Genomic DNA, 26,894 nt, shown 5'->3' with positions numbered 1-26,894 from the left:
TTGCATTCACAAAGTTTATGGTAGAAAGGGAATATGGACAAGTAAAGGAGCAATCACAGTATAGCAGGACATACATTATGACAAGAGAAGTAGAGGGTTCATGGGAACACATAGGAATGTCACTCAACCCAGGGTTTAGGGAGCAGGGAAAGTTTCTGAGAAGTGATAGCCGAACATGGACCAAGAGTGCTCAATGCAGAAGAAATAGCATGTGCAGAGACATGGAATTGAAAGAGAACAAGGAATTTCTGAAGAACTAAAATATTCAATTTGTTTGGAGTGTTAGATACAAGGAGACAAATGGCAAGAGATGAGTCCTGAAAGGTAAGCAGAGGAAGATCATGAAGCCATTAGCACATTTAGATTTGGTCCTAAAAAGACTTGGATGATGTAGAAGGAAATGATGAAGATAATGATGAAAAAATAATAGGCTGTGGGGTAGCCATTTGTTATTATGGGGAAAAGAGCTAGTGGTAGAGGAGTCTGCAGTAATATGAGTATTTACTATTGAGCATCTATAATAAGCCAGACTCTATGATAAGCAATTTCTTAGTTAACACTCACAATCTAACATGAATAAGTGTATAACCACTCTGCTGCCATGTCAAGAATGGTTTAGAGGAAGACAAAATTAGAAGGAAAACCAATCAGGAGGCTACCCTAGAATCAAAGTACAAACTCATGGTGGTTTAGACTAGACTAGAGTAATACTGGTAGAGATGAAAGACATTTGAAAAATATTCATGTCTAAGATTCAGGATCCTGGGTACCCTATGGATGTTACTGTAAACATCAATTCTTACTATTTATAATGCAATCTAGAAATTTTGGGTTATTGGATTGTATCTGTATTGAACCCAGATCACACTCTTTATATGTCCTGGTTGATCAAACCTTTATAAGGAATATCATAAATTGTTGCTTTTTTTACAACAGTCAAGTTCAGAAACAAAAAGCATTCTGTCTTTTCAGAGCTCTAGTAGTCAGGGTTATAAATATTGCACATTTTGTCATTAATAGAGAGTGAATAGGAAGAATTACAAGGTCCCATAGAGACCCACACACTGTGATGAGATTGACCGAAATCTTTTCTTAGGAATTCCAGCAAATGTTTAGCCCCCAGAGCATTGCTATAAAGAGGGATATTAGTTCATTTACTAACGAACTCACGGTGCAGAATGGGCTGTATGGGATAGGGTGCAATTATAATGCATCTTTAGTCTTTCTCATATCCCCAGTTAAGCACACTCTGTGAATCCCTTTATCCTCAGCCCAGTTGACTGTCAGGCAGGCCCATGACTTCCTGGTCCCTTCAGGTCAAGAATAGTCTCACTTCAGTAATCAAAATACCTCATCCAATGTAATAATCAAAACTCAAAACCCATGCAATGTAAGATTTCTCCCTCCCCTGCTCCCGAGGCATTCCTCAGTCTTGGAGCCTGCAGTAGGGACAGGGATGTGTCCATCAGCTGTGTCCCACACCATCTACTCCTCCCCACACAGCATGATTCTAGAAATGGCCTCAAAGCTCTTCATCCTTGGGCTCAGAGGAATAAAGGATGAGGGTAAAAAGGTAGAGTTGGCACAGTCTCTGTGGCAGTGACCATTGTAATTTGGTGTTGGTTCCTTCAGGGTGTGGAGCTGGTTCTTTCATGGGGGCAGTTTGACAGGTTCTTCAGAAATCCCTCTGCTGGAAACCTCTGCACTGCTTTGAGGAGGAGGATGCCTCTTCTCTACATAGACTTCTACCAATACAGTCTTTCTGCCTGTCCAAGCCGTCCTTTTGAAAGGAAGCCTTCATTACACACACACACACACACACACACACACACACACACACAGAGAGAGAGAGAGAGAGAGAGAGACAGTTTGGATATTTGTTCCTCATAAAACCTCATGCTGAATTGTAATCATCAGTGCTGGAGGTAGGTCCTGGTGTTTGGATCATGGCTTGGTGCTGTCTTCATGACAGTAAGTTCTCGTGACATCTGGTGATTTAAAGGCATGTGGCACCCCCCCCACACACACTCTCTCCTCTTGCTCCTGGTTTTGCCAGGTGACATCCCTTCTACCCCTTCACCTTCGGGCATGATTTTAAGCTACCTGAGGCCTCCCTATAAGCAGAGCAGATGCCAGCACCATGCTTCCTATAAAGCCTGCAGAACTTTGAGCCAATTAAACCTTTTGTCTTCATAAATTACCCAGTCTCAGGTATTTATTTATAGCAATGCAAGAATAGCCTAATAGAGAGAGAGAAAAAAAAAGAGAGATTTAAAAAATACAAAGAGATAAAGACATACGGGCCGACCCCCAGAAAACAGGCACTTTTGCCCCATGCAGATCACCCCCAATACAGCCAAGCCAGCAGCTGTAGCCAGAGAATTTTTCCTCTGATCTTCCTCCAGGGGAGTATCCAACAGGAGTCTCACATTTCCTACATTTCAAGAACCACATGTCAAACTTTCTGAACGTTCCCCTGATGCCCCTCTCATTGGGAGTAAGGTGATGGGAAGCAACACTACTGGCCTCTGCAAGTGATATGGTTTGGCTGTGTCCCCACCCATATCTCATCTTGAATTGTAGTCCCCATAATCCCCATGTGTTGTGGAAGGGACTCAGTGGGAGGTAATTGAATCATGGGGGCAGCTTTTTCCCATGCTGTTCTTGTGATAGTGAAAAAGTCTCACAAAATCTGATGGTTTTATAAACGGCAGTTCCCCTGCACACACTCTCTTGCTGGCCACCATGAAAGATGTGCCTCTGCTCCTTCTTCACCTTCTGTCATGATGGTGAGGCCTCCACAGCCATGTGGAACTGTGAGTCCATTAAACCTCTTTTTCTTTATAAATTACCCACTCTCATACTTCTTTACAGCAGTATGAAAACAGATTAATACACCAACTGAGGGGAAGAAAAATGCACAGTTATTGATAATTCTCTCTCAGCCTCTTATGTGAACTAGAGGCAGATGGCTGCAAAACCCATTCACAGTCTTACTGGCATGCCCTGCATCAATGGCCTTACACTTCATTTTAGGATGGCATTTCACTTGGAATCTAAGTGTGTCTTTTTCACCTCTTAGGGCCTCTGCCAAAACTCTGAGACAAGAGGAAGAGATGCACATAAAGATCTCTTATTTTAAGAAAGACTAGGGCCAAGTATTGGGAATTCTGAGTATAATTCTCTTCTTTCTGATACCACACCCTGAGCGGCAACCTGAATAATCCACATTCTACGTGAATAACCCAAAGGGTGATGCAGATACCTGGATGCATGGCCAGATTTTCAGCAATGACCCAGGACCTTCCTTCTTAACCCCCTAAATATTTCTGTCCAACTTTCTATGTCCTGACTCTTGATTCTGTCACTCCTTTGCACTTGTTGACTGATCTTGAATTCCCTGAGTTATCCTTTCAGTATGCAACAAGCAATTTAGTTCAGACTCACATTTGTCTGGAAATAATAGAATAATTGCTCCCAGTTCTGGGCCAACTTTACCCAAAGAAACAGTAAGAGGTTGTTTATGTAATGTGATTTCTGAGACCCTGTGAAAGTATTACTTTCACCCAGTAGCTAAAAGGCTTATATGAAAAAATAGTTTTATAAATTTGTCTTAAGCATCACCTTTTTTTTCTTTTTTTTTTTTTGAGACGGAGTCTCACTCTGTCACCCAGGCTGGAGCGCAGTGATGTGATCTTGGCTCACTGCAACCTCCACCTCCTGGGCTCAAGTGAATCTCCTGCCTCAGCCTCCCTAGTAGCTGAGATTACAGGCACACACCACCACTCCCAGTTAATTTTTGTATTTTTAGTAGAGACAGGGTTTCACCGTGTTGGCCAGGTTGGTCTTGAACTCCTGACCTGAAGCATCACCTTGTTTTAAAATGGGTAATCATGATGTGTATTTAGCCAGAAAAACATTCAAGTGCAAGGTCGAGAAGAACAAGTTGTACCACTTTTAATCTATAATTTTGTTTTCACAATTGGCATACATAAATTTGAAAGTACTTCAGTTATTGATTTAGCTGCAGAATTATGAATTTTAGATAAACAATAAATAACTTTTAGTTTAAGTATGTCTCAAATATTGCATGGGACATACTTATACTAAAATATATATTGTTAATCTAAAATTCAAATTTAGCTGGGCATTCTGTATCTTGATTGCTTGATCTGGCAACTTTATTTGCTGGAGCTTCCAGCCTGACTACCCATAAGCAGCTCTCAGATAAAATGAACATCTTCTAAAACGCATTATGGTTTGGTTTGGTTTGGTTTTTGAGACGAAGTCTCACTCTTGTCCCCCAGGCTCGAGTGTAATGGCGCGATCTCGGCTCACTGCAACCTCCGGCTCCCAGATTCAAGTGATTCTCCTGCCTCAGCCTCCTGAGTAGCTGGGATTACAGGCGCCTGCCACCATGCCTGGCTAATTTTTGTATTTTCAGTAGAGAGGGGTTTCACCATGTTGGCCAGGCTGGTCTTGAACTCCTGACCTCAGGTGATCCACCCACCTCAGCCTCTCAAAGTGCTGGGATTACAGGCGTGAGCCACCACAACCGGCCATGCATTATGTTTTTAAATGGCAGTAATAGATTTGCATAGTAATATGCTGAGGATTGACCTCTGCTCAGTTGAGTTCAAATAATCAATAACATCTTCTTTCTAGTCTTCCTAAGAAAGAAAAGGAGGATGGAAACCAGATTAACGAAGATGAGAAAACAGTACTGCAATACATAGTTTTTACAGTAATTTCATCTCAGGGATTTCTAGGAAGCCTCCAAAAATATATAGGGTCATTGAGAATAACTTTGGCTGCAAGTAACAGAAAATGTAGATTCAAACTGGCTTAAATAATAAGGAAATGCAGGAACACCTGTAACTGGAAGCCCAGAAAGATAATGATGCCATGAAATCCTAGGTTGTCTCTACTACTCCCTTCTGCACTCCTCAGTGGCAGCTTCCTCTGAGAGCTGCTTCCCTTTGTCACAGCAAGCATGGCTCCAAGTGACAACCAGAGCTGCACACTTCCCTGACCACATTCAGTAGGAGAGAACATAAGCTTCTCCCTCCAGTCTGATTGAGCCAGCTCAAAGCGTGACTGCATCCGTGGACTAGTAACTCTCGTTATGAGAATGGCATGTGCTTATCTGTTTAGAAATCAGGGTTCCTCCTGGAGCTAAGGATGGGATGGAAATCTAAACAAAAATGAGATTTGAAAAGAGTTGATGAATTTTAGGTAGGCAACAAGACCTACTAAAATATATTATTGGTTACTTAATTTCTTATTCAAGTGGGCCATTAATTTGATGAGAAATCTGCCCTTAATGTGTCTAAAAGATTGTAAAACCACTGTATTTTGTTTGCATAACCTGATGACTTACATCTCCTTTGGTAACATACACCTGGATTAGAAATATAGGTAAACACTTCAATAGTTTTATATACACGGGTTTTACTTTTTTTTTCTGAGACTTTGAAACATCAACATGTTTAAAGTCATTCTTGAATCTTTCTTTTATGAAAAATAATAATGATGATGACACATTAAATTTGAATACATTCTTACTTGAAACATTTTTATATTCATCTCATTTGTGTTTCACAATAACCTAAAGAAAGGGCAGGTATTATTAGCCTCATTTTTCTGACAAGGAAATTGAGACCTACCTTGATAAAGAGAACTGTCCAAGATCACATTCAATTACATTGGAAAATAGAACAAGAATCTATTTCCTTTTGTCACACCTTCTTGCTGCATGGAGTGGAAAATTTTTATGCATATTTTTCTACCAGCACAAGGGCCTATATGTAACTTCTGGCCTATATGTAACTTCGGGCCTTAACATGGCAATGGGCAATGGGGTTGGGCATTGTTTTTTAAAACTGCAGGTACATTTGAATTGAAAATCATTGTGTTACATTTTTAGCAACCTTAACATCCCCAAATGATATGGTCAATAATTAATTTAGCTCCTTTTCTCATGCAAAGGAATCCTACACAAAGTTGTTTTACAACTAAGTCTCTTTTCATCCACTGCCATTATACAGGTTAGAATCATTTTTATTGTAAATATAGTCACACATAAACATACATAAACAGACACAAAATAAACCCTGAACTGATTTAAGCTAAAAAAATGCATTTGTTCACAAAGTGTAAAAGTCTAGAGGTATCTCAACTTCAAGGGCTCAAAGAAGGACATCAGTTACTGGTATTTCTTCATCTGCCCTCCTACACATGGGCTTCATTCTAAGGTTCTACTTGATGACATGGCAGCTGCCTTCATTTCCAGAATAAAACTTCTGAGTCTTAAGTTTAACACAAAGGAGAATGTGCTTCTCTACCACTACTCCCAGAAATGCCTCACTGTGTCCCACAGTCTCTGACAGGGCAACATGCCCAATACTACAGTTTGAATGGGCCCTCCAAAGTTATGTGTTGGAAACTGAATCCCTGGGGCAACAGTGTTAGGAAGTGGGACCTAGTTAGAGGTGGTTGGGCCATGAGGGCTTTGTCCTCATCAATGAATTAATGTCATTATTGCAGGAGTGGGTTTGTTATTACAGAAGTGAGATTTTTATTGAAGGAATGGATTCCTTATGAAAGGATGAGTTCAGTCTCTCCTGCATTCTCGCACCTTCTCTCACTTTCTCACCTTCCTCCATGGGATGATGCAGTAAGAAGGCCCTCGAAAGATGTCAGCACCTTGATATTGGACTTTCCAGCCTCCAGAACTATGCACCAAATAAATTTCTGTTCACTGTAAATTACTTAGTCTCAGGTATTTTGTTATAGCAGCGAAAAATGGACTGACACCCATCCCTCAAGGAATCACTGTGAAGAGAATATAGATCTCTGGTCAGCCAAGCCAGTTAAATGCCTACCTATGGAGCCAGGGTTGCAGTGAACTGCATTCAAAGCAAATAGATTAAGAGTGAGGGTCAAGTGGTTTCCTAGAAGAGAAACAGAGAAGGATGTTTAAGGAAAAGGGTGATTAGATGCTGGGAGTCAAAAATTAATATATCTACCACACTCATGAGCAAAAGCAAGAACTTATTCAGCATCATGAGAAACTATCTATTGTATCACCACCTAAATATTAATAGCATCTTCTTTTCTCCGGTCCTTTAGGAAACTGTATTATCCATCTTGATTTTTCCCTGTTGTGCAACATTGCACAGGGAATCTGGCCAAGGAACAATAAGGCACAAATTCTAAAGTTTGAGGTTATGTTTGTATTCAAAGAATCAGACTAGTATATATATTGCCATTTTTACCTGACAGATTAAGAATAATTAACTGGGTGAAGAAGACAATGAGAAGAAACTATGAAACCTTACTGCTTCTTAAAGGTTTTCAGTGTGAAGCAGAGAAGGGCCCTGGCTTCTGCTGAGGGTTAAAAGCATTTGCCTCTGAAGCTGGAATGATTTTACCAACAGGGAGAAAGCCTGATCATGGGGAGTTTTGTGGGAAAACTCAAACAGAAAGGGAAACCAAAAGCAGTAAAACTCAAACAACAACCAAAAAAACCATTCAAAGCTGGTTATCACTTAGAAGGTTGTTCTGAGAAGTTGCATTGTCCCTCTTAGCAGAACTAACTAGCTCCATATTAAATGACACAATGGCAATATCACAGACACCCATTGGGTGGAACTTTGCAGCCTGGTCACCATGGAGATGTTTCAAGTGCCTTCACATGAGCCTGCATTATTTCAGTCCATTTTCCAAATGACTGTAGATTTTATCCTGCTGGGTAAATTGCTTTCTGTTTCTCCTCTCTCTCTCTCTCTCTCCCCCCTCCCTCACCTTTTCTTCCTGCCACTATCAAAAAAAAAAGAATGAATAGATCCCTACCGTCTGAGATTTTAGAATCTGTACTAGAGATTAAGCCAAGGAGTTTAAAATTCTCAAATAGACACTTTATAATAGTATAAAAGGAATCAAATGCCAAAAACAATATGTAACAAAATATATGTAAGACTTTTACAAAGAAAACTACCAAATATTGAAAAAAAATAATAAAACCTAAATAAACTGAAGAATATACCAGTCTCATGAATTGCATGACTCAAAAATGTAAATATGGCAATTTATCCACAAATCAATCTGTAGATTCAATACAATGTATATCAAAATCTAAATCCCAGAAGCTTTTTTTAAGTACAATCTAATTTTTTTAATTTACTTGAAAAAGGGCCAAGAATTGCCATTAGAATGATGAAAAAGAAGAACAAAACTGGAAGACTTTATACTACAAGACATTGAGACATCATACCAAGACATTCTAAGACTATAATCATTAACAGTGTAATACATGTGCAAGGATAGAAAAAATAGAACAATGAAACAATATAGAAATAGATTCCATATCTACACTCACACAATTTTTGGCAAAGATGACATCACAGTGCCATAGGGAAAGAGTGGTATTTTCAATAAATGATGCTGGATCAATCGAGTATCCATAAAGAAAAAATCATGAAGCTTGAATTATAGCTCACACCGTACATAAAAGTTAATTGCAGATAGGTTGCAGGTGATGACATGAAAGGTAAAATTATATGTTTTTCAAAATAAAACAAAAGACAATATCTCACAAACTTGAGGTAAGAAAATGTGTCTTAAATAGGACAAAAACACACTAAATATAAAAAACAATTAATAAACTGGATGCTATTAAGAAGTTTTCTCATAAAAAGACAGAGTAGGGAAAAAATTCGAGATGTATATATCTTACAAAAGACTCATATCCAGAATATATAAGGAAAGAGACAGATAGTCCAATAGAAAAATGGGCAAAATAATTGAACAGGCACTTCCCAAAAGAGGATATCAAAATGGCCAATATACATATGAAGGAATGCTCAATTTTATAAGTCATTAAAAAAGCATACCAAAACCAAAATGGAAAACACAGAATACGCCAAGTGTTGGTGAGGTTGTTGAGTATTCAGAACTCTCATACATGGCTAGCTAAAAGATACGTTGATACAACTACCTTGAGAAAACTGACTTTGTCTACCAAATCCGAACACATGCATATCCTCTGATGTAGAAATTCCACCCCTAGGTAGATAGCCAACAAAAATGAATATATTCATCCAAAGACATTGACAAGAATAATTATAAAAGCATTATTCATAACTGCCAAAACTAGAAATGCCCTGAAATATCCATAAATAGCAGAATTTATACAAAGGAAAACTATTATGGTGTTAATTGTTAGGATGGCAATTATGTTTGCAGGGACAGTGATGAATGAGGGGGTGCATAACGGAAGTTTTCGAAATGCTAGTGAAAAAATGTGCTTTTGATATGAATGCTACGGACACATATGTTCACTTTGGTGAAAATTCACCATAAATTCATTTAAGATCTTTACACTTTTCCATGTATATGTTATGCTTATACATATACATGGAAAGATATCAAAACCTTAAAGAGGTTGTGATGCTGTAGATAAAAGAGGGAAGGAACACTGTATTAGTCCAGTGATCCCCAACCTTTTTGGCACCAGAGACTGGTTTCATGGAAGACAATTTTTCCATGGACAGGTTAAAGGACGGGTTTCCGGATTATTCAAGCTCATTACATTTATTATTAGATTCTCAAAAAAAGCATGCGACTTAGATCCTTTGCATGCACAGTTCACAAGAGCATTCAGTCTCCTATGAGAAGCTAATGCCACTGCTAATCTGATGGAGACGGAGCTCAGCTTTACTCACTCACCTGCCACTCACCTCATGCTGTGTGACCTGGTTCCTAACATGCCACAGGCTAGTACCTGTCCATGGCCCTGAGGTGGGGATCCCTGTATTAGTCCATTCTCACACTGCTGTAAATAAATACCTGAGACTGGTTTAATTGGATGATGGTTCTGCAGGCTGTACAGGAAGCATGATGCTGGCATCCACTCAGCTTCCGAGGAGTCCTCAGGAAACTTACAATCACAGTGGAAGGTGAAGGGTGAACAGGCATGTCACATGGCCAGAGCAGGATCGAGAGAGAGAGAGAGAGAGAGAGAGAGGAGGAGCTACACACTTTTAAATGACCAGATCTCATGAGAACTCACTCACTATTGTGAGGACAGTACAAATGAGGATGGTGCTAAACCATTCATGAGAAATGTGCTCCCATGATCCAAACATCTCCCACAATGCCCCACCTCCAACACTGGGGATTACTATTGAACATGAGATTTGGGTGGGGACACAGGTCCAAACCATATCAAACAAAAAGAGAGAAATGTTTGCAAATGCTCAGAAAACAAATGAATTGAAACAAGTTCAATGTTGGTCATCATTCTCTCTCAGGGTTTCATTCTCTCCGGGTTGTTTCATCATTCTCTCTCAGGGTTTGAGGAAACACAGGAAAATGTTTTCCCAGTCTGGTAGAGATGCCAATTCTATTAACATGCTGCTTTGGTTTAGCAAGGCCTATCTACATGCCTGCCCTTGATGACATCATCCAGTGTCCTGGTTTCAAGGGACATCTAAATGCCAATGACTCCAAAATTTATAAACCCAGCTCAGAACTCTCTCCTACACTTCAGACTTATATAGGTTGAACTATCCAAAATTGCTATTTTCATAGGTCAAAAGTGAGTGACTTCATATAGTTCAACTCATAAGTCAATTGCCTAGTTGATATTTCTAATGAGCATCTCTAATATAACTTATCCAAAACCAAATTGGTTCTATTGTGTCTTCGCATCTCAATACCTGGCAATCCCATCCTTCCTTCACTCTAGACAAAAAACCTTAGAGTAATCATTGACTCCTTTCTCTTTTAGATTATACATCTAATCCATTAACAAATCAATCCTGTCTGGCCAACCTGCTAAATATATCCAGAATAAGACAACTTCTCACCACCTTCATGTTATTACCTCAGTCTAAGCCACCATCATTGATTGTAAGACTTTTTGCAGTAATTCTGTCCATGTGCTTCCTTTTTCCTTTTTTCCTCAGCCCCCAATTTAGTTCCTGCCAGCAGCCAGAGAGATCCTATAAAATGCTAAGTCAGATTGTGTCTCTCTTCTGCTTAAAATTTTCCACTGGTTTCCCATCTCACAAAGAGTAAAAGCCAAAGTCCTACAATTGCCTGCAAAGGCCTATGCCATATGTCATATGCAATAAATATTTGGTAAATTAGTGAATAAAGCAAAGAAGAAAGTAATACATCAAAGACCTAGGCTCTTCCAGCTCCCTACTGCACCATCCTTCAGGTAAGACCCTTGTCCTCAGGGTCCAAAATGGCTGCTCAAACCTAGACATTACACCCACTTCCTAAGCAGCAGGATTGAAGAAGTAGGAAGAAGGCATGCCCTCTTTTTTCTAAAGAGATTCCCAAAAGTTCCACACATTATATCTGTTTACATCCAAACATAAGCCAGGGTTTCTCAATGTTAGCATTATGGACATTTTAGATGGGATAATTCTATGCTGTGATGAGCTGGCCTTTGAACCATAGGATGTTTAGCATAATCCCTGCTAGCATCCCTTCCAACGCCAGTAGAACAAAACACCCCACCACTAGTTGTGACACCTTAAACTATGTCCAGACATTGCCAGATGTGCCAAAGGGTAAGGGAGGGATATCTGCTAGTTGGGAACCACTGACTTAAGCTAGAAGAGACGTGGTAAATATCAGGATGGTGATATCACACAGCAAAGTGAGAATTCTGTATTTTGATGTTCAAGAGAATGGATATTTGGTAAGCAAGTAGCAGTCTCAATTAAGAAAAAAAATACTCCTCCCTAGAGGCAAGCACTGTAGCCAGTTTTTGGAGATTATTTCAGAGATATTTAATACATGCAAAAATAAATATTTTGTATTTATTATAGCCTATCTATCATTCATACTAATCCATGCCTTGCTTTCTTTTTACTTAACAAGGCAATTTTTCCTGGGATATAATATGACCTTTCTATCTATAGATGCAATTTTCTTTTATTTCTGAAAACTTTCTTAAATCATATCTGTATATATTGATTCCGTTTTCTTATTTAGGTTACCTTCGTCATTAACACCAATTATGGGTATTTTGGACTTCCTGTGTCTGTCTTTGGTATGTTATTTTTGTTCTGGTCTTTTTAAAAATGCTCAAGTGAATTTACATTTTGCTTGCCCTTATCTTATTTTCAACCATGTCTATCATTTTCAGTTTTGCGTTCATTCCTTTGTTGAACTAATTTTTCTTCCCCAAGTGTGCTCTGAGCTCTGACTGCTCCTGCAGTTCCTCCTTCTGATATTTCACCTTTTGATTTTTGTTTTCCAGTGGCAATTACTTTATTATGTTATTTTTCACTACAGGTAATACGTTTAATCATAATTTTTATTTCTCCATGGCAACATCTTTCTGATGAGTATTCTTTAGCTGCCACTGGATTTTTTTTTAATTCCCGTTTTTCCATTTTTTCTTCTAGCATCTTTGTACAAATCCTGTGGTCATTCCATTTTCACTGTTATTCTTGAGTGAGGTGAGTCTTTAAACTAAATATTTGTAGGAAATACCTAGGGTGTGCATCAAGAACCACGTGTCAAACTAGAAAGAGTTCTCTTTTTTGCATAAAACTGTAAGTCGAATTAAATTTTTTATACTTTTCTTCCTGACAGTCAACAGTAACCAGTAGCCATCTGGTCTTTTCACAATATAGATTCTCTCTTCCACCCTGCCTCATCTGCAGTTTGCTTCCTGACAATATGTGTAATTTCTCATTCAAGCCTGCCTGCCATCCTCTTTACCAGTGAGGCCTAACAAAGTTTCTGTAACTAGTCCTCACATATTCCCCCTGTTCCAAACAAGAAGAAGACCAAGATCACTAATTGCCACTAACATTCATTATCTTTTCTTCTTCTATCAGAACTGTTATATTATTGGATGTAGCAATACAAATAGCTTCAAAAATTGCTTTTCTTGTACTATTTTGCAGCTCTTTGTGACCATGTAGTAAGGTTCTTTGTGGATAACATTGTGGGGGAATTCTGGAACATCTCTATTAAAAGAGGACAGAAAGCCAGAGAAAGATCTTGTTTCCCATTCTACTGCCTAGAATATGGATTTGATGGTTGATGCTCCAGCAAACCCTTAGATGAGGAGGTTACTCTAAAGATGGAAGCCACACACCAGAATGGTGAGGCCAAAAAGCAGAAAATCTGATCTCTTGGTGGAGCCAAAGAGAAGAAACAATGAGGCCAAAAAGCAAAAAACTTGATCTCTTGATAACAGTGGAGCCACTAATCATCTATGGACTACAGATCTCTAGTCTTCTGACAAACTTCTGTTATTTTAGATGTTCTGTTAGATGCATTTGAACTTAATTCCAGCTAAAACAACAAAGCTTCACCCCTAAGGGTATGTTCCGAACTTTGAAGAAGTGTTCTGTAAGTCTTGTCTGAGATCAGCAGCCATTGACACATTCTCTTGATAGCAGAACCATGATTTGACTTTTATTGTTTTTGACATCCCTTCCTCAAATATTATGGTTCCAAGTTACATATGTCTCCTAATGTTCTTTTAAGATGGAACTTGCATTTTCTATTTTTTTCTTCTTTTTACTTAAATCTTAAAGTAAATAGCAGAAACACTTCCTTATTCTACTATTTTAAGACTGGAAGGAGGGTTTGGGTTTTTTTAAGAATAGAGAAGAAATAGTTTGGAAACTGCAAATGGAAATATGAAAGACACATTCTTTCTCTACTTCCAGGCTCTGATTTATGGGAGATGTAAGCATCACATAAGAAGTCTGCAGAGCCAGTGATATCATCAGGGGACAGCTTGTTTCCTTTAGAGTAAAAATACAACACTCAAAAATGTTGAGGATTATAGGAGCATTAGCTCATGGTAACCTGAGAGTTTCAAAAGCATAATAGAAGGAAAGGTTTGAAAAGGCATGGAAGTATGCAGGCTAGCTCAGAACTACATAGTCATTAAGGGCCATGAAAACAATGGGTGACCTGGGAGACTGGGCTTTTGTAGTGAATGAGTAAAACAGCCAGATGTCCCAGTAGCCTCCAGAGGAAGGCAAGTTCATTCTTTCATACTACATTTGAGATAGCAATAGATTAGATATATGATTAGATAGATAGAAGACAGACAGACCAACAGATGATAGATAGATAGATAGACAGACAGACAGACAGATAGATAGATAATAGAAATGTGATTTGGACAAATTCCCATGTGCACAAATACTATTGTCTTCTGAGGTCCTGCCATCTCTTTAGGCTCTTGCTGTTATAACAACTTCAGTCTTTCATCCCCTACTTCCTTCCCTCTACTTCCTACCATTGAGCTCTGATTAGATGACACTTCCCTAAGCCAGGAAGAAAAGTGTTTTGTAGGCAACCTCTGCTTCCACCTTGATGCAAACTCTCCTGAGGGAAGGAAACTTAGTGCCTGGACTCTTGCTTCAATGAGGAAATGAAAGAAGAAAATACAGGGAAAAGCACAAATTATAATGTCAAATATTATTGTGCTCTCAAAACAGTCCCTTCCCTCTTAGTCTTCTGAGGTCCTGCCATCTCTTTAGGCTCTTGCTGTTATAACAACTTCAGTCTTTCATCCCCTACTTCCTTCCCTCTACTTCCTACCATTGAGCTCTGATTAGATGACACTTCCCTAAGCCAGGAAGAAAAGTGTTTTGTAGGCAACCTCTGCTTCCACCTTGCACCTTGATGCAAACTCTCCTGAGGGAAGGAAACTTAGTGCCTGGACTCTTGCTTCAATGAGGAAATGAAAGAAGAAAATACAGGGAAAAGCACAAATTATAATGTCAAATATTATTGTGCTCTCAAAACAGTCCCTTCCCTCTTAGTCTCCATACAAGGATAAGCCCTCCTTTCTCTGCTGTGACAACAGCTAAACCCTGCTTTTCATGTTGGCAGAGTAGCAGGTGTCTTCTTGGTGAAAAGCGGACTTCAGGAATTCTCTACACCTGGACATCTCCCTTGCTCTGGTTCCTGATAGATTCCTTTTGACTTTAATTCTTTGAGAGAACAGCTTTGCCAATGCTTTTCAATGAAAATTTCATCCAACTTTAAAATATAAAATATATAAAACATGTTGCCTCTGTGGCTGAAGTAGAGGCAGGCACCCCATTCTCAGCCACCACTGGGTACTGCCATCCTCACCTTATTCACCCTGCCACACACACACACACACACACACACACACACACACGCAGAGTCATCCCTCCTAAAATCCCTAGATTAACCACCTCATGCTGGTTTGCCCAGGGCTTTCCAGGATTTAGCACTGTGTGTTCTATACTCTGGAAAACACCAGTTCCACGTACACTGGGATGGTCAGTCTCCCACACAACCCTAAACACACTTCCATAATGGTTTGAAAATCACTGATTTAGAAACAATGCATTGACTCATCAATACAGGGCACATGTTTAGTTACTATTGGTTATTGCAGATTAGTATAAATTAGTTTATCAACTAACTTTCCAAGTGGAGGCAGGTGGAAAAGGGGATTTGATGAAGAGAAAGAAGAGCTTGGCCACTTCATGGCATGCCTTGTTGGCGCTCTCATCAGAGTCAAATTCATTCACAAGGTTCTAGCCCCCAGGACCCTGCAGGGATGCACTAGCTGAACACCTCTGTAATTTAAGTGGTACCTGGATCCATGCCTGCCTCAACAGGAAGAAATGTGAGAAGGCTGGAACAAGATGCTCCCAATTCCTATACCCACTCCTTCCCTAAGCAGTGTGTTCTCTCCTCATATTAGGAAACAGGTAATCAGGGTTGCAGAGCAGACTGAAACTAAAGCCCATGCAGAGAGCAAACTTCAGACCTTGACTTCATTAGAATAGCGCTCTAACCAAACTAAGCAGCCTCAGAGAAGCCTGCATAATTGACTTGGAAACACGTTCAGGCACAGGAGTCTCTCACAGCAGCTGGAATCAAGGCCCAAACCAGAGAACAAGTGCCCAGAAGAGAAAGGGACTGTTCAAAGATACCCAGATGATCCCCTGTCTTGGCAAAGTTGTCCAGGTGCTCATGCAGCTTTAATGAAGCCCAATTCTAATTAATCTGTGACCTTATTCAAACCAACTGTTTCCTCGTGCCTCGAATGCCTCTCCAGATTCAGATGCCCTTTCCCTCAAGTGGAACGCAAAGGCCTGTTTTCTTAATAAGTTTAATTGAAAGATGGCTGAACCATGGGTCTCTCATAAACAGGGAATTCCCCACCAATAGGAGTTGCAGAACAGAGAGGTGTCAAAGATGTGGCAGAGACATAATTCAGCTTCTACAACCAACATTGATGAAAGGCTGGCTTCAGCCTGTCTCTTCCGTCAACAGCCCATCAGACACTTGGCAAATCAAAAGCAGCACGTTGTGTTTAGAATGGACACACTCGTGGAGGCAGCAAGGAGACTGTGGAGAGATGGATTGAGACCATGAAGGCAGGTAAGAGAGGTGCAGTCCAAAGAAGGGAGCAGCAGTGAAAGGGTTAAAATCTACCTGCTGCCCTCTAAACCAGAGTATCAGGGCATCTTTTGTGCTACAAAGGGCTTCCAGGTGTCCCAGATGTTGAGCCCCTTACTTAGGCTCTGAGCAATCTTCTTCATTTCCCCAATATGCTATAGGATTGTAATCATCATTATGTGTGCTATGTTAAATGATGTTAAAAGTGTTGGGAAGCACTGATATAAAGCATTACTTCTCTGTCTCTGATTCCTGCCTCCTAAAAACTGCATCTGTTCTTCTTTTCTATCAGAACAAATACCCGCATCAACCAAAACTAACCAATGGGGTATAGAAAACGCGGGCAGCACTGAGGCCTCACCATCCCTGTAAGATATTCTGAGTGGATTTGAATGTATGTCACTCTCCCCAAAATCTTCTAATCCAAACACTTACATGGCTTCCTGTTTTCCTTAGGATAAAGATCAAAGTCCTTACCAGGGTTTGGAGGGCTGCCCAGAGTCTGACTTCTTGTGGCAGCAAGGAGCCTTAGTTACTCACAAAGGAGCCCACTCTACCTGGACTCAGCAACGTGTCTCATCCTTCACTTCATTTGATCCTCTCATACTCCGTCAAAAAGATTATTTCCTTCCCGTTGCACCAAGTTGCTAGTCCAGCCTGTGTGAGCACCTAGCTCTGGGATCCATCCAGCTAGAAGGAAGAGGATATATAGGATGCTGTCGTTGGCATTTTCCAGATGCTACTCTGACAGGGATGGAACTGTGCAACCTCTTTGTGAAGAAGCATTGGCCTTGCCTGTCAAAAGCAGCATTTGCCATATAGTCGCTCAGGGTCTGTGTCACAGGATCCTTAGGTCAGGAACTTTCCTCTAACTGTTGGCTGGGGAAAGGGTTACCTCGCTGCAAAATTGAGAAATGGATATTTGTCTCTTTTGTTGTCTTTTTCCTCTACTTCCTCTCCTGATGCCTGTTTGTGCCTTTTCCCAGTCCCAGACACCTGATCATCATTCTCAGTAAACTATTGCAAGGACAAAAAACCAAACACCGCATGTTCTCACTCATAGGTGGGAATTGAACAATGAGAACACATGGACACAGGAAGGGGAACATCACACTCTGGGGTCTGGTGTGGGGTGGGGGGAGGGGGGAGGGATAGCATTAGGAGATATACCTAATGTAAGTGATGAGTTAATGGGTGCAGCACACCAGCATGGCACATGTATACGTATGTAACTAACCTGCACATTGTGCCCATGTACCCTAAAACTTAAAGTATAATAATAATAAAATAAAATAAATAAAAAAATAAGATAAAATAAATCCAATTCCCAAGAAGCTGTGTGCTTAGGGAGTTCTCAAAAGCATCATGGCTGAGTCTCTTAGGTGTCAGCCCTCTCAGGATTATGTAAATATTGTAAGTTTCTCCAAATATTAAAGCTGTTCAAAGTTAAAATAAATAAATGGCTAAGAATAAAAATTTGGGCATGATGCCTGATGAAAAGAAAAACAAATGTTAAGGCATAAAGTCTTGATCAGTGCCTCAAATTAATTTCAAAGATGGGTCTTAACTTCCATGCACATTGCTACATTGTCCACTTCCCTAGAGGGCCCAACACTGAGTGCAGCTATTAGCAAAAGGAGAGAGAGACAATGCTAGGCACATGCCAGGAGTTTAAACACTAAACGGTTATTTAGCAGAGATGGAGACATTTGCAAGCAATGCGTGACAGCAAAAGGAAAGGGCAGGTGAGGCATTTCAGAACAACTGTCCAGAACTACATCGGGCACCAGTGGATTTTGTGAGCAGCTGAGGATTTGAGCTTTGCTGGCTCAGCCTGGCTTAGAGTGCTGGGGCAGAAAAGAAACTGGCTCTAGAGGCCATCCTCCAAGGATCTTGAACGTTTCATTTTTTTAGGGTTTTTCTATCTAGACATTGAAGATACAGTGTGAAAATGAGCCTCTGTCATTTTAACAAGGTCCTTTTAAATCCACAAAGAACAGCCCCATCGATCAAGAAATTATTCTCATTCGTCACTTTCTAGCCTGTTGCCTCGGGATTACGGTGGGTTGCCAGCAGAGACATAGGACCACAGTTAATAAAACATTTTTACAGATCTAGGCTGCAACTACGAAAGACACAATTAATATTCACACACAAGCATGCATGCGTGCCCTTCCCCTCAGCATCTCCAGACTCCCATTACAGGAACCCTCCATTACTCAAAACTAATCCCAATGAGAAGCAAGGCCTATGACTGGTTAGTGTGTGTGTGAAATCATTTTAGTAGTACTTTCATGGGAAAGTGACCCAGAAGACACCAGCTGAATATGATAAACAAGAAGTAGCATAATGTATAAAGAGCTCTAGAATCAGACAGAATTGGGTCCGAATTGGGCTTCTTCATTTAGTAGCTGTGTGACCTTGGGTGAGTTGCTTAGCCTCTCTGGGCCCTAGTTTTCTAATCACTGGAACGGGGATAAAGATATTTATTTTGTATGGTTGTTGTAAAGGTTCAAGAACATGTGTTTAAAACACATATCCCAGTGCCTGACACTTAATGAATGGTAGCAATTGTTACCGGTAATAAATCAGCATATCTGTGCTCTCTCCTGTCACCTTCTCCCTCTCTCTCTCTCTCTCTATCTCTCTCTCAACTTGTACCTACCATAACCACACTGCTGTTTTTTGCTTTGGATGCCTACATGACCAGTTGGTCTCTCAAAAAAAATTTATCAACTAAGACCAGGTGCTGAGCAATAAACTAGGTCATATTCCAGACACCACTATTACTGTTGTCAGCAATAACTGATTTCAGCTTTCTGACATACATTTGGCTATTTTGTGTCCTGCTAACATCAGGGAGCAATCTTACATTGGGGACCCTTCCCTCCCTAATGGAAACATTTGGAGAAAGTGGGAGGAAATTGCTATAAAGTGAGCATAGAACAGAACAGCTGGAAGCGGCCTCCTAATAGGCAGTTTTTCATGTTTTGACAGGTTTGAAGCAGACTATGACAGCAAAAGGGGTACACACAGGGACAGCGTAGCAGACAGCACTTCCTGGAATGGAAGCTTCTGCAGGCTTCCAGATGTAGCTGCTGTCCTTACCCCGCGTGTTTATAGTGGCTCCAAAGTCCCCTTCCTGGGGACTCCTAGGGACATACATCATTGTCAGTTTAGCTGCCAAGTCCAGCTCCAGAAAGGCACCTGGAAAAGGCAGCACAGCTAATGAAAGCAAGGCAATCAAGAGAAAAAGACAGCTGGGCTGGGGGCCAAGGGGCCTAGGGTCTGGCTTCCATCCTTCCACTAAGTGAACTTTGGCAAGTCTTCTTTCCACTAAGGGTCTCAGTTTCCTATCAGCAAAAAGGCTGTCCTGAGCCCTCTTCCCACAAGAGGAATGCTGTCAATAAAAGCAATAAAAGGTGCTTGCTCTATTTATCTGTACTTTCTACTTTTTCTACATGTACACATATCATTTGTGGGAATGTGTATTTTCTACTTCTTAGGTGTGTGTATATGTATATATGTGTGTGTGTGTGTGTGTGCACACACACTTAAGAGGTAAAACACTAATATTAGCTTATTTTATTTAATAATTTATTTATTGTATTTATTTCTACACACACTTAGGTAGAAGAAAATTAGCTTATTTACTTATTATTTTTCTACCTCTTAAGTGTATGTGTATACACACACACACACACACACATATATAGTGTGTGTTTGTAGTCATTTGTTATGGAAGTCATAGAAAACCAAAACACAACTCTAAGAGTACACACGCACTTAAGAGGTAGAAAAATAATAAGTAAATAAGCTAATATTTACTGGGCATTTCTTACATGCCAAGGATTGTAATAAATACTTTATATTCATTATCTCATGAGAAGGAGCCAACTGGACACACCTGCTGCTATTTGCTACCCAGCATCCATTCCCCCTCTCTCCTGATAATGCTCTAAATTTCCCTATGAAAAGCAACCCCTCATTGCCATTTGCCCTCATGTGGTTTTGTGGCAATGACCTCAACCCCAGTTCCAGGGGTGGATCTTGATTGGCTTAATCAGTTTACACACCCTCTGTTCCTCACCACAGTGACTGGTTGGTTCTCTGATTGGGCCGACAAGACCTCAGCAGTACAGTCAGAAGAAACCTCAGTAATTCACCATGAATGTTGAGATCATCTCTTTCATTCCTGCAGAGCTTGAACATGGAGCACATGGCCCCATTATGTGCCAGCAGACACTTTGGGCACATCAGAAGATATCCTTCCAAGTTGAGAGCCATTAATGAGGACACAGAGCACAGAAGTAAAGAATGAGAAAACGGGCTCAAGATCCCAGACCAAGCACTGCCTTACGCTACTATGGCTCCTGGACTTTATTGCTCAAATAATTTGATTTCAATTTTTTGGTTTTGTGCAAAACCAAAACATGCCTTATCAATGTAGGCAAGTGTTATTATCAATACCATTTTATAGATTAGGAAACTGAGTCTCAGTGGAGCTAATCCACTTGCCCTAAGTTACACAGTAAGTTTGTAGTGGAAACACCATTTGAAACCAGGTCCAACTGGGTTAAAAACCCAAGCTTCTTAAGCACTATATTTTGCTACCATAGGTAGGGAAAACTGGAAATACCTTGAAAATGAGAACATTTTATAAAATGCAACCTTTCATTATTTCAGGAGTAGATTTCGAATCATCACCTCAAACCCCAATTGAAATGGTCTCGCTTTGTCACCTAGGCTGGAGTGCAGTGATGCGATCATAGCTCTCTGCAACCTCAAACTCTTGGGCTCAAGCGATCCTCCCACCTCAGCCTACCAAGTAGCTGAAGCTATACCCCTGTGCCTGGCTATTTTTTTTTTAAGAGATAGGGTCTCACTTTAATACCCAAACTGGCCTCGAACTCCTGGGCTCAAGCCATCCTCCCACCTTAGCCTCCCAAAGTACTAGTATTACAGGCATAAGAAACCATGCCTGACCTAAATTTTGAGCCACTGAGTTTGTAATAATTTGTTATGGCAGTCATAGAAAATCAATACACAACTCTAAAATAAAAGATTAAGCAAAAAAAAAAAGATTTCTTATTTTAAAAATTTGGCAAAGGAAAGCAAGCTGAGATCTTTATCTCCATAAAGGATGAAAAGGAGGTGAAGATCAGTAGCATTCCTTTTTGTAGCAAAGTAACATGAGGAAAAATTGGCCCTAAAAGTCCAGAGTAATCTGAACTAGATATAAGGAGGAATTTGCTACCAAAGTTGGTAAGAACTGAAATTCACTTCCAAAGGTGATTGTGCAAAAGTCCCTTGATTGGCTTCCTGAAGGAGAACACTGAAGCACTGACAGGCAACAATTAGACAAGAATTTAATTAGATTTGCTGGAAAGCACAATAATAATGACTTAGGATGTCCTTGGACACACTGTATGATTAGAAGAGGCTGTTAAGTACTGAATTTCTGCTTAGGAGGGCTGGGAAGCCAGGGATGCCTGTTGTTTGAGCAGATGCATTTCTAGCACAGGCACAGAATCTAGGGGGGGTTACAGTTTGTGAGCTGTCCAGAGTGGCTTCCGCATGCCGACAAAAGGAGATGTGTCAGCTCTGAGTAGATGCATTACTTACCAGCACAAGGGGGACTGTATCATGGTTTGGAGGGTCATTCATAACTTTCTCAGAGATCAGAGTCTAGCCATGGATCAAGACCAAACAGCTCAGTGTGAGCTCATAAACAGTATCATATAATGGTCAAGCATATGGGCTCTGAAGTCAGAAAGCCCTGAATTTTGCCATTTACTCACTGTGTGGCCTTAAGCAAGTTGGTGTCTGAGTGCTTCAGCTTCTTCATCAGCAAATAATAAGTCATTATCCCGTTAGGCACTTGTGAGGATTAAATGACATATGATATATAAAGTATAACGCCTGGATCATAGTAAACATTTGTTAAATAAATGGCTGTTATTATTTCTAGTAGTGTGGTCAGGCCTCACTGTGGGCTGGAACAGGGTAATCAGGTAAGAGTAAAGGGAGTGTCATATTAAAGAGCCAGAGAGATTGGAGGAATCCAAAATGCAAAGAGAGAACAAGGAACCAGGGAGCTTGCAAGCAAGGAGTAGCAAAACAATTGCAGCATCAATATTCAAAGCACCAGATTTACGTGAGGAGTACCTTAAGGCACTTTGTAATATCACCTCCAGCTGCTGCTCCTCCCTTGGCTTGGAAGGACAAGGTAGGGATCTAGGAGCAACTTGCTGGAGATAAGAAGTAGACCCAACACCTAAAAAGACTATTCTGCAGGGCTTCCTAGGATTTCTCATTCTTCCCTGATCTCTACCAGGGATGGCAAACGCTTAGCTTTCATAGCATCATTTCCTCTCCTCCAATGCTCATTCCTTTCACAAATATTTATGTGCCATGTGCTGGGCACCATTCTAGGTATTGGAACAGACCAGGAAATACAACAGGCATAAGCCAGTCCTGCCCTAATAAACTCCATAACCTAGTCCTTCTGGCAAACATCACTAACCAGTTAATGGCATATTTCCCTACTCCAAACCCCTTCAAGTCCTTTTCAGTGCAGTCCAGTTCTCCAAAAAGCCACTGCCAATCAATTAGAGTTGACACTTGGGAATAAAGATCACTTTTTATTCCTGCGTTGAGCTCCTGTGATTTCTGAATAGAGGCATTGATCCCTTTACAGATGTAAGCCATTGTTTCACAGTCCAGTGCTAATGGGGAAATGAGACCCCAAAAGCAGCAACTACCACTGTAGACGTTTGGAAGCCATTGGCATTATTGTTTAGACTATTCACACTGAAGTGGTCTTGAATACCTATCTCACTGAAGCATCCAGGAATTCTACTGATCTAGGCTGAACATTTGATGACTGATTGATGAGATGTTTAAATACCATAATCCCAATTTCGTTTATTATATTCATTATTTTCTTTCATTTTATAACTGCAGATTCAGCCTTCAGTCATCCACTGTTTCCCATTATCCCCCTCCTCCACACACACACACAACTTGAGGCACCTCAACAATTAGGTACGTAGCTGGGTATGCATCTGATGCATTTGCACAGCAGGCAGCCACATACTGCAGGACCTAAACCATGATACGATGAAGTCAGTGGGGCCAGTTTCCAGGATCAGCTCTTCCACTGACTATGTGGCTTTTAGGACCCATTCGCTCATCTGTAAAATAAGAATCACAAAACTCATATCACAGTAACCACTGCCTAGCTCACGTAGTTATTCGGAGACTACAGGATAGTATGTTACTAATCAAGACTTGTAATGTCCCTAGGCATTATGGACACTTGGACACTAGGTGGCAGTATGTCACCTTCCACCTCTTCACCCAAGTCAGAGGGACCAGGTGCACCTCAACAGTTGCCCTCCAGATGGCAGCCCAGAACATTCCCCAGCACCCAGCAGAGAGCCCATAAAGCTGTTTGCATTATAGCATCAAAGGGAAAGGACTAGACCAAGCAAAAGCCATTTAACACTTTCTCTCAATATCTGAATTGGGAAGTAGAATATTAAACCACAGAAAAGTAAAAGAGCAACAAGTAAAAGTCACTGGACAGTGGAGCCATAGAAGGGAAATTTGTGACCTCATGGTGTCACTTGGCAGTGAAACCATATCTCAAGCTCAGCCCTTCTAACACCAAATGCATACCCCAGCCTCTGCGTTAGGATGTCAGTTCTGTTTCCAGGATGAAGGGTATGATGATTTACCAAATCCCATAGTCAGTAAGGAGTCTGGTCCTGAGATCAGAGTTTCCTGACTCTCATTCCACGTCCAGACAAGCAGATCAGCCATTCGACTTTTTTCCTCTGTCTTATCTCCTCTCTCTCTCAAGCTTAATATGAAACTGTTTTCCAGCGTTAAGCTGAGGGCAAAATAGAGTAACAGAAAAATGCAGTGGCCACTAACCCCAAGAAGCTACTCAAATCTAATTTAAATCAAATAAAATTAAACATTTACTTTCTCAGTTACACTAGCTCAATAGTGACCTGTAGTTAATTATTGAACAGAACAGAGGCCGGGCATGGTGGCTCACACCTGTAATCCCAGCACTTTGAAAGGCCGAGGCAGGCAGATCACGAGGTCAGGAGTTCAAGACCAGCCTGACCAACATGGTGAAACCCTGTCTCTATAAAAATACAAAATATTAGCCAGGCATGGTTGCATGCACCTGTAATCCCAGCTACTCAGGAGGCTGAGGCAGGAGAATCGCTTGAACCAGGGAGGCAGAGGTAGCAGTGAGCCGAGATCACGCCACTGCACTCCAGCCTGGGTGACAGAGCAAGACTCCATCTCGAAACAAAACAAAAAAAAGAACAGCACAGATATGGGACACTTCCATGTTCTATTGTAGCACTGGTCTAGACCATCGGAAATGGAGAATGTGCCACTACATCATTCGATTGCTTTATAATGAGGTATACCATGTTGCAATTAGAAGAATCAGTGGAAAATAAGAATGGCATTCTTGATAGCAAAACAAAGAAGTTTACATGAAGGTAAGTGAAATTTTAGAAGAAAATATTTACAAAATAGATTAGGGGAAAATTGTTAATATGCTTTATAAGTTAATCTAAGAGTGGTGGACAAAGCATGACAGATAATTCAAGGAAAAGAAATTAAAATGACAACAAAATGCTTGAAGTGATTCTCAACACATCAATCATTTAAAAAAAGAAAATAAAAGCCATGAGATAAATTAAATGGAGCCAGAAAATTACAGAACCTGTTTAATCAGGTAATGACATTTTCACCAAATAATACATATTTATACATGATCATGCATGTAAAATGTGAGATAAATTTAGAAATGGAAATCTTTTTCTGAAAACAAAGACGTAAAATATTATACAGATTTTCTTATATTGTTATTATTAATTGACATCATACTTTCAAATAGTGCTAGCATTTCACTTTACTCTGTTTATGATGAATATCATGCCTATATTAAACCTCTTCTCTGCAGCCAACAAAATCTAAATGAACAGTCTGCTCAAAATGATAAAATGAGAAGTGTCTTATCTGTGGGATAGTTGGCATGTATGGATGTGCTGTTGAGTTGTTGAGGTTTTTTAAATTCCCTGAATGTCTGCATCCCACCAAGTTGCATACAAATATCCACTTGTCTATTAGGCTGGGCGGGCGCGGTGGCTCACGCCTGTAATCCCAGCACTTTGGGAGGCCGAGGCGGGTGGATCACCTGAGGTCAGGAGTTTGAGACCAGCCTGGCCAACATGGTGAAACCCCGTCTCTACTAAAAAAATACAAAAAATTAGCCAGGCGTGGTTGCGCACGCCTGTAATCCCAGCTAGGCTGAGGCAGGAGAATCGCTGGAACCCGGGAGGCGGAGGCTGCAGTGAGTTGAGATCGCGCCACTGCACTCCAGCCTGGGCGACAAGAACAAGACTCCGTCTCAAAAAAAAAACAAAAAAAAACAAAAGACATTAGTCAGTACTTTAACTTGAACTTGCTTAAGGAAAATCGTAAGCTTAATAGACTCATAGAATTTAAAAATCCAAAAATGGCTCTCACTTCAGGCTCAGTGGATCCAGGGGCTCAACCTATGTCATCAGAGCTTTTTCTCTCACGGTCTTCAGTGTCTGTTTCCTGCTGGGTATGATGGCATAATTCTCTCCCACAACAATCTTGTGGGATAGGAAGGTGACAACCAAACTCATTTCTCTGCATCCCTGTTTAGCAACCCTAGTGGAAAGAGATTTTTGTCTCCCAACCTTCCTAAGTTAATTCTAGAAATAGAGTCTGGTTGTTCTGCTTCTTTTCCTGCGACGTACTCCCACCGCTCCATTTCCAAGGCAGGGCTGTCCTATCATGCCACACCAGGGGGCGCCATTCACATTGACGTGCATGTCAGTGAAATCATTTGGAGTTACTAGAGTTGTGCCACGTGGTGCCCCTGTTCCCAAGGATAGGATGTTATGAATGGACAGTCCTGAATCATATAGTATCCCTGTGCCCAGGAAAGCAGGATTTGCTTCCAGAAGAAACAAAATGAAAGGAAAACATTCCAGGGAGCCAAAAATAAGCCCATAATCCATCTCAATGTATCACTGCACAGTGAGAAGAAAATTCCACACCAACCCTCCCGTTGACTTCCTGTGAATGGACGTAAGAGCAGAGGGGAGGTAAACACAGCACCTTTTAAGCCCTCAGAAGAAATCAGTACGTGTCTGCAAGATATTGAGGTAGGGAAGGGGTGGGGGGGTCTCCTTTCTTTTAAGGAAGCAAGAACTTCTCTCTCTCTCTCAATCTCTCGCAAGAAAACTTTCTGCTACCTTACTGTACAAATGACAAATTCCAGCCTGCCTCCTGAACTATAGCTAGCCTCTGCTTCAGAATCCACTTCCAGTCTCAAGAACATTTTTTAAAGAGCTAAAGCTTAGAAACAAGGCACAGGAACTACC

The 26,894-nt window shown here is 40.6% G+C and overlaps 1 long non-coding RNA gene across 1 annotated transcript in view, besides 1 other annotated feature; it reads right to left on the bottom strand.

The window, feature by feature from the left end:
• The window catches only part of LOC107984326 (uncharacterized), a 162,012-nt gene that overhangs the window by 93,863 nt on the left and 41,255 nt on the right, over positions 1-26,894 (bottom strand). The gene's annotated exons all lie outside the window — the stretch shown is intronic.
• Positions 20,180-20,750: an enhancer, noted in NCBI's record as "OCT4-NANOG hESC enhancer chr11:36771874-36772444 (GRCh37/hg19 assembly coordinates)". NCBI's record gives its function as "activates a minimal SCP1, AML or CMV promoter by ChIP-STARR-seq in primed H9 embryonic stem cells {active_cell/tissue: H9 hESC(primed)}" and the evidence as "EXISTENCE:reporter gene assay evidence [ECO:0000049][PMID:30033119]".

This window comes from Homo sapiens, chromosome 11 (assembly GCF_000001405.40).
Source record: "Homo sapiens chromosome 11, GRCh38.p14 Primary Assembly".
NCBI classification, from domain to species: Eukaryota; Metazoa; Chordata; class Mammalia; order Primates; family Hominidae; genus Homo; species Homo sapiens.
Note: the sequence above shows the minus strand (reverse complement) of the source record. Positions and strands in the feature narration are given on the sequence as shown.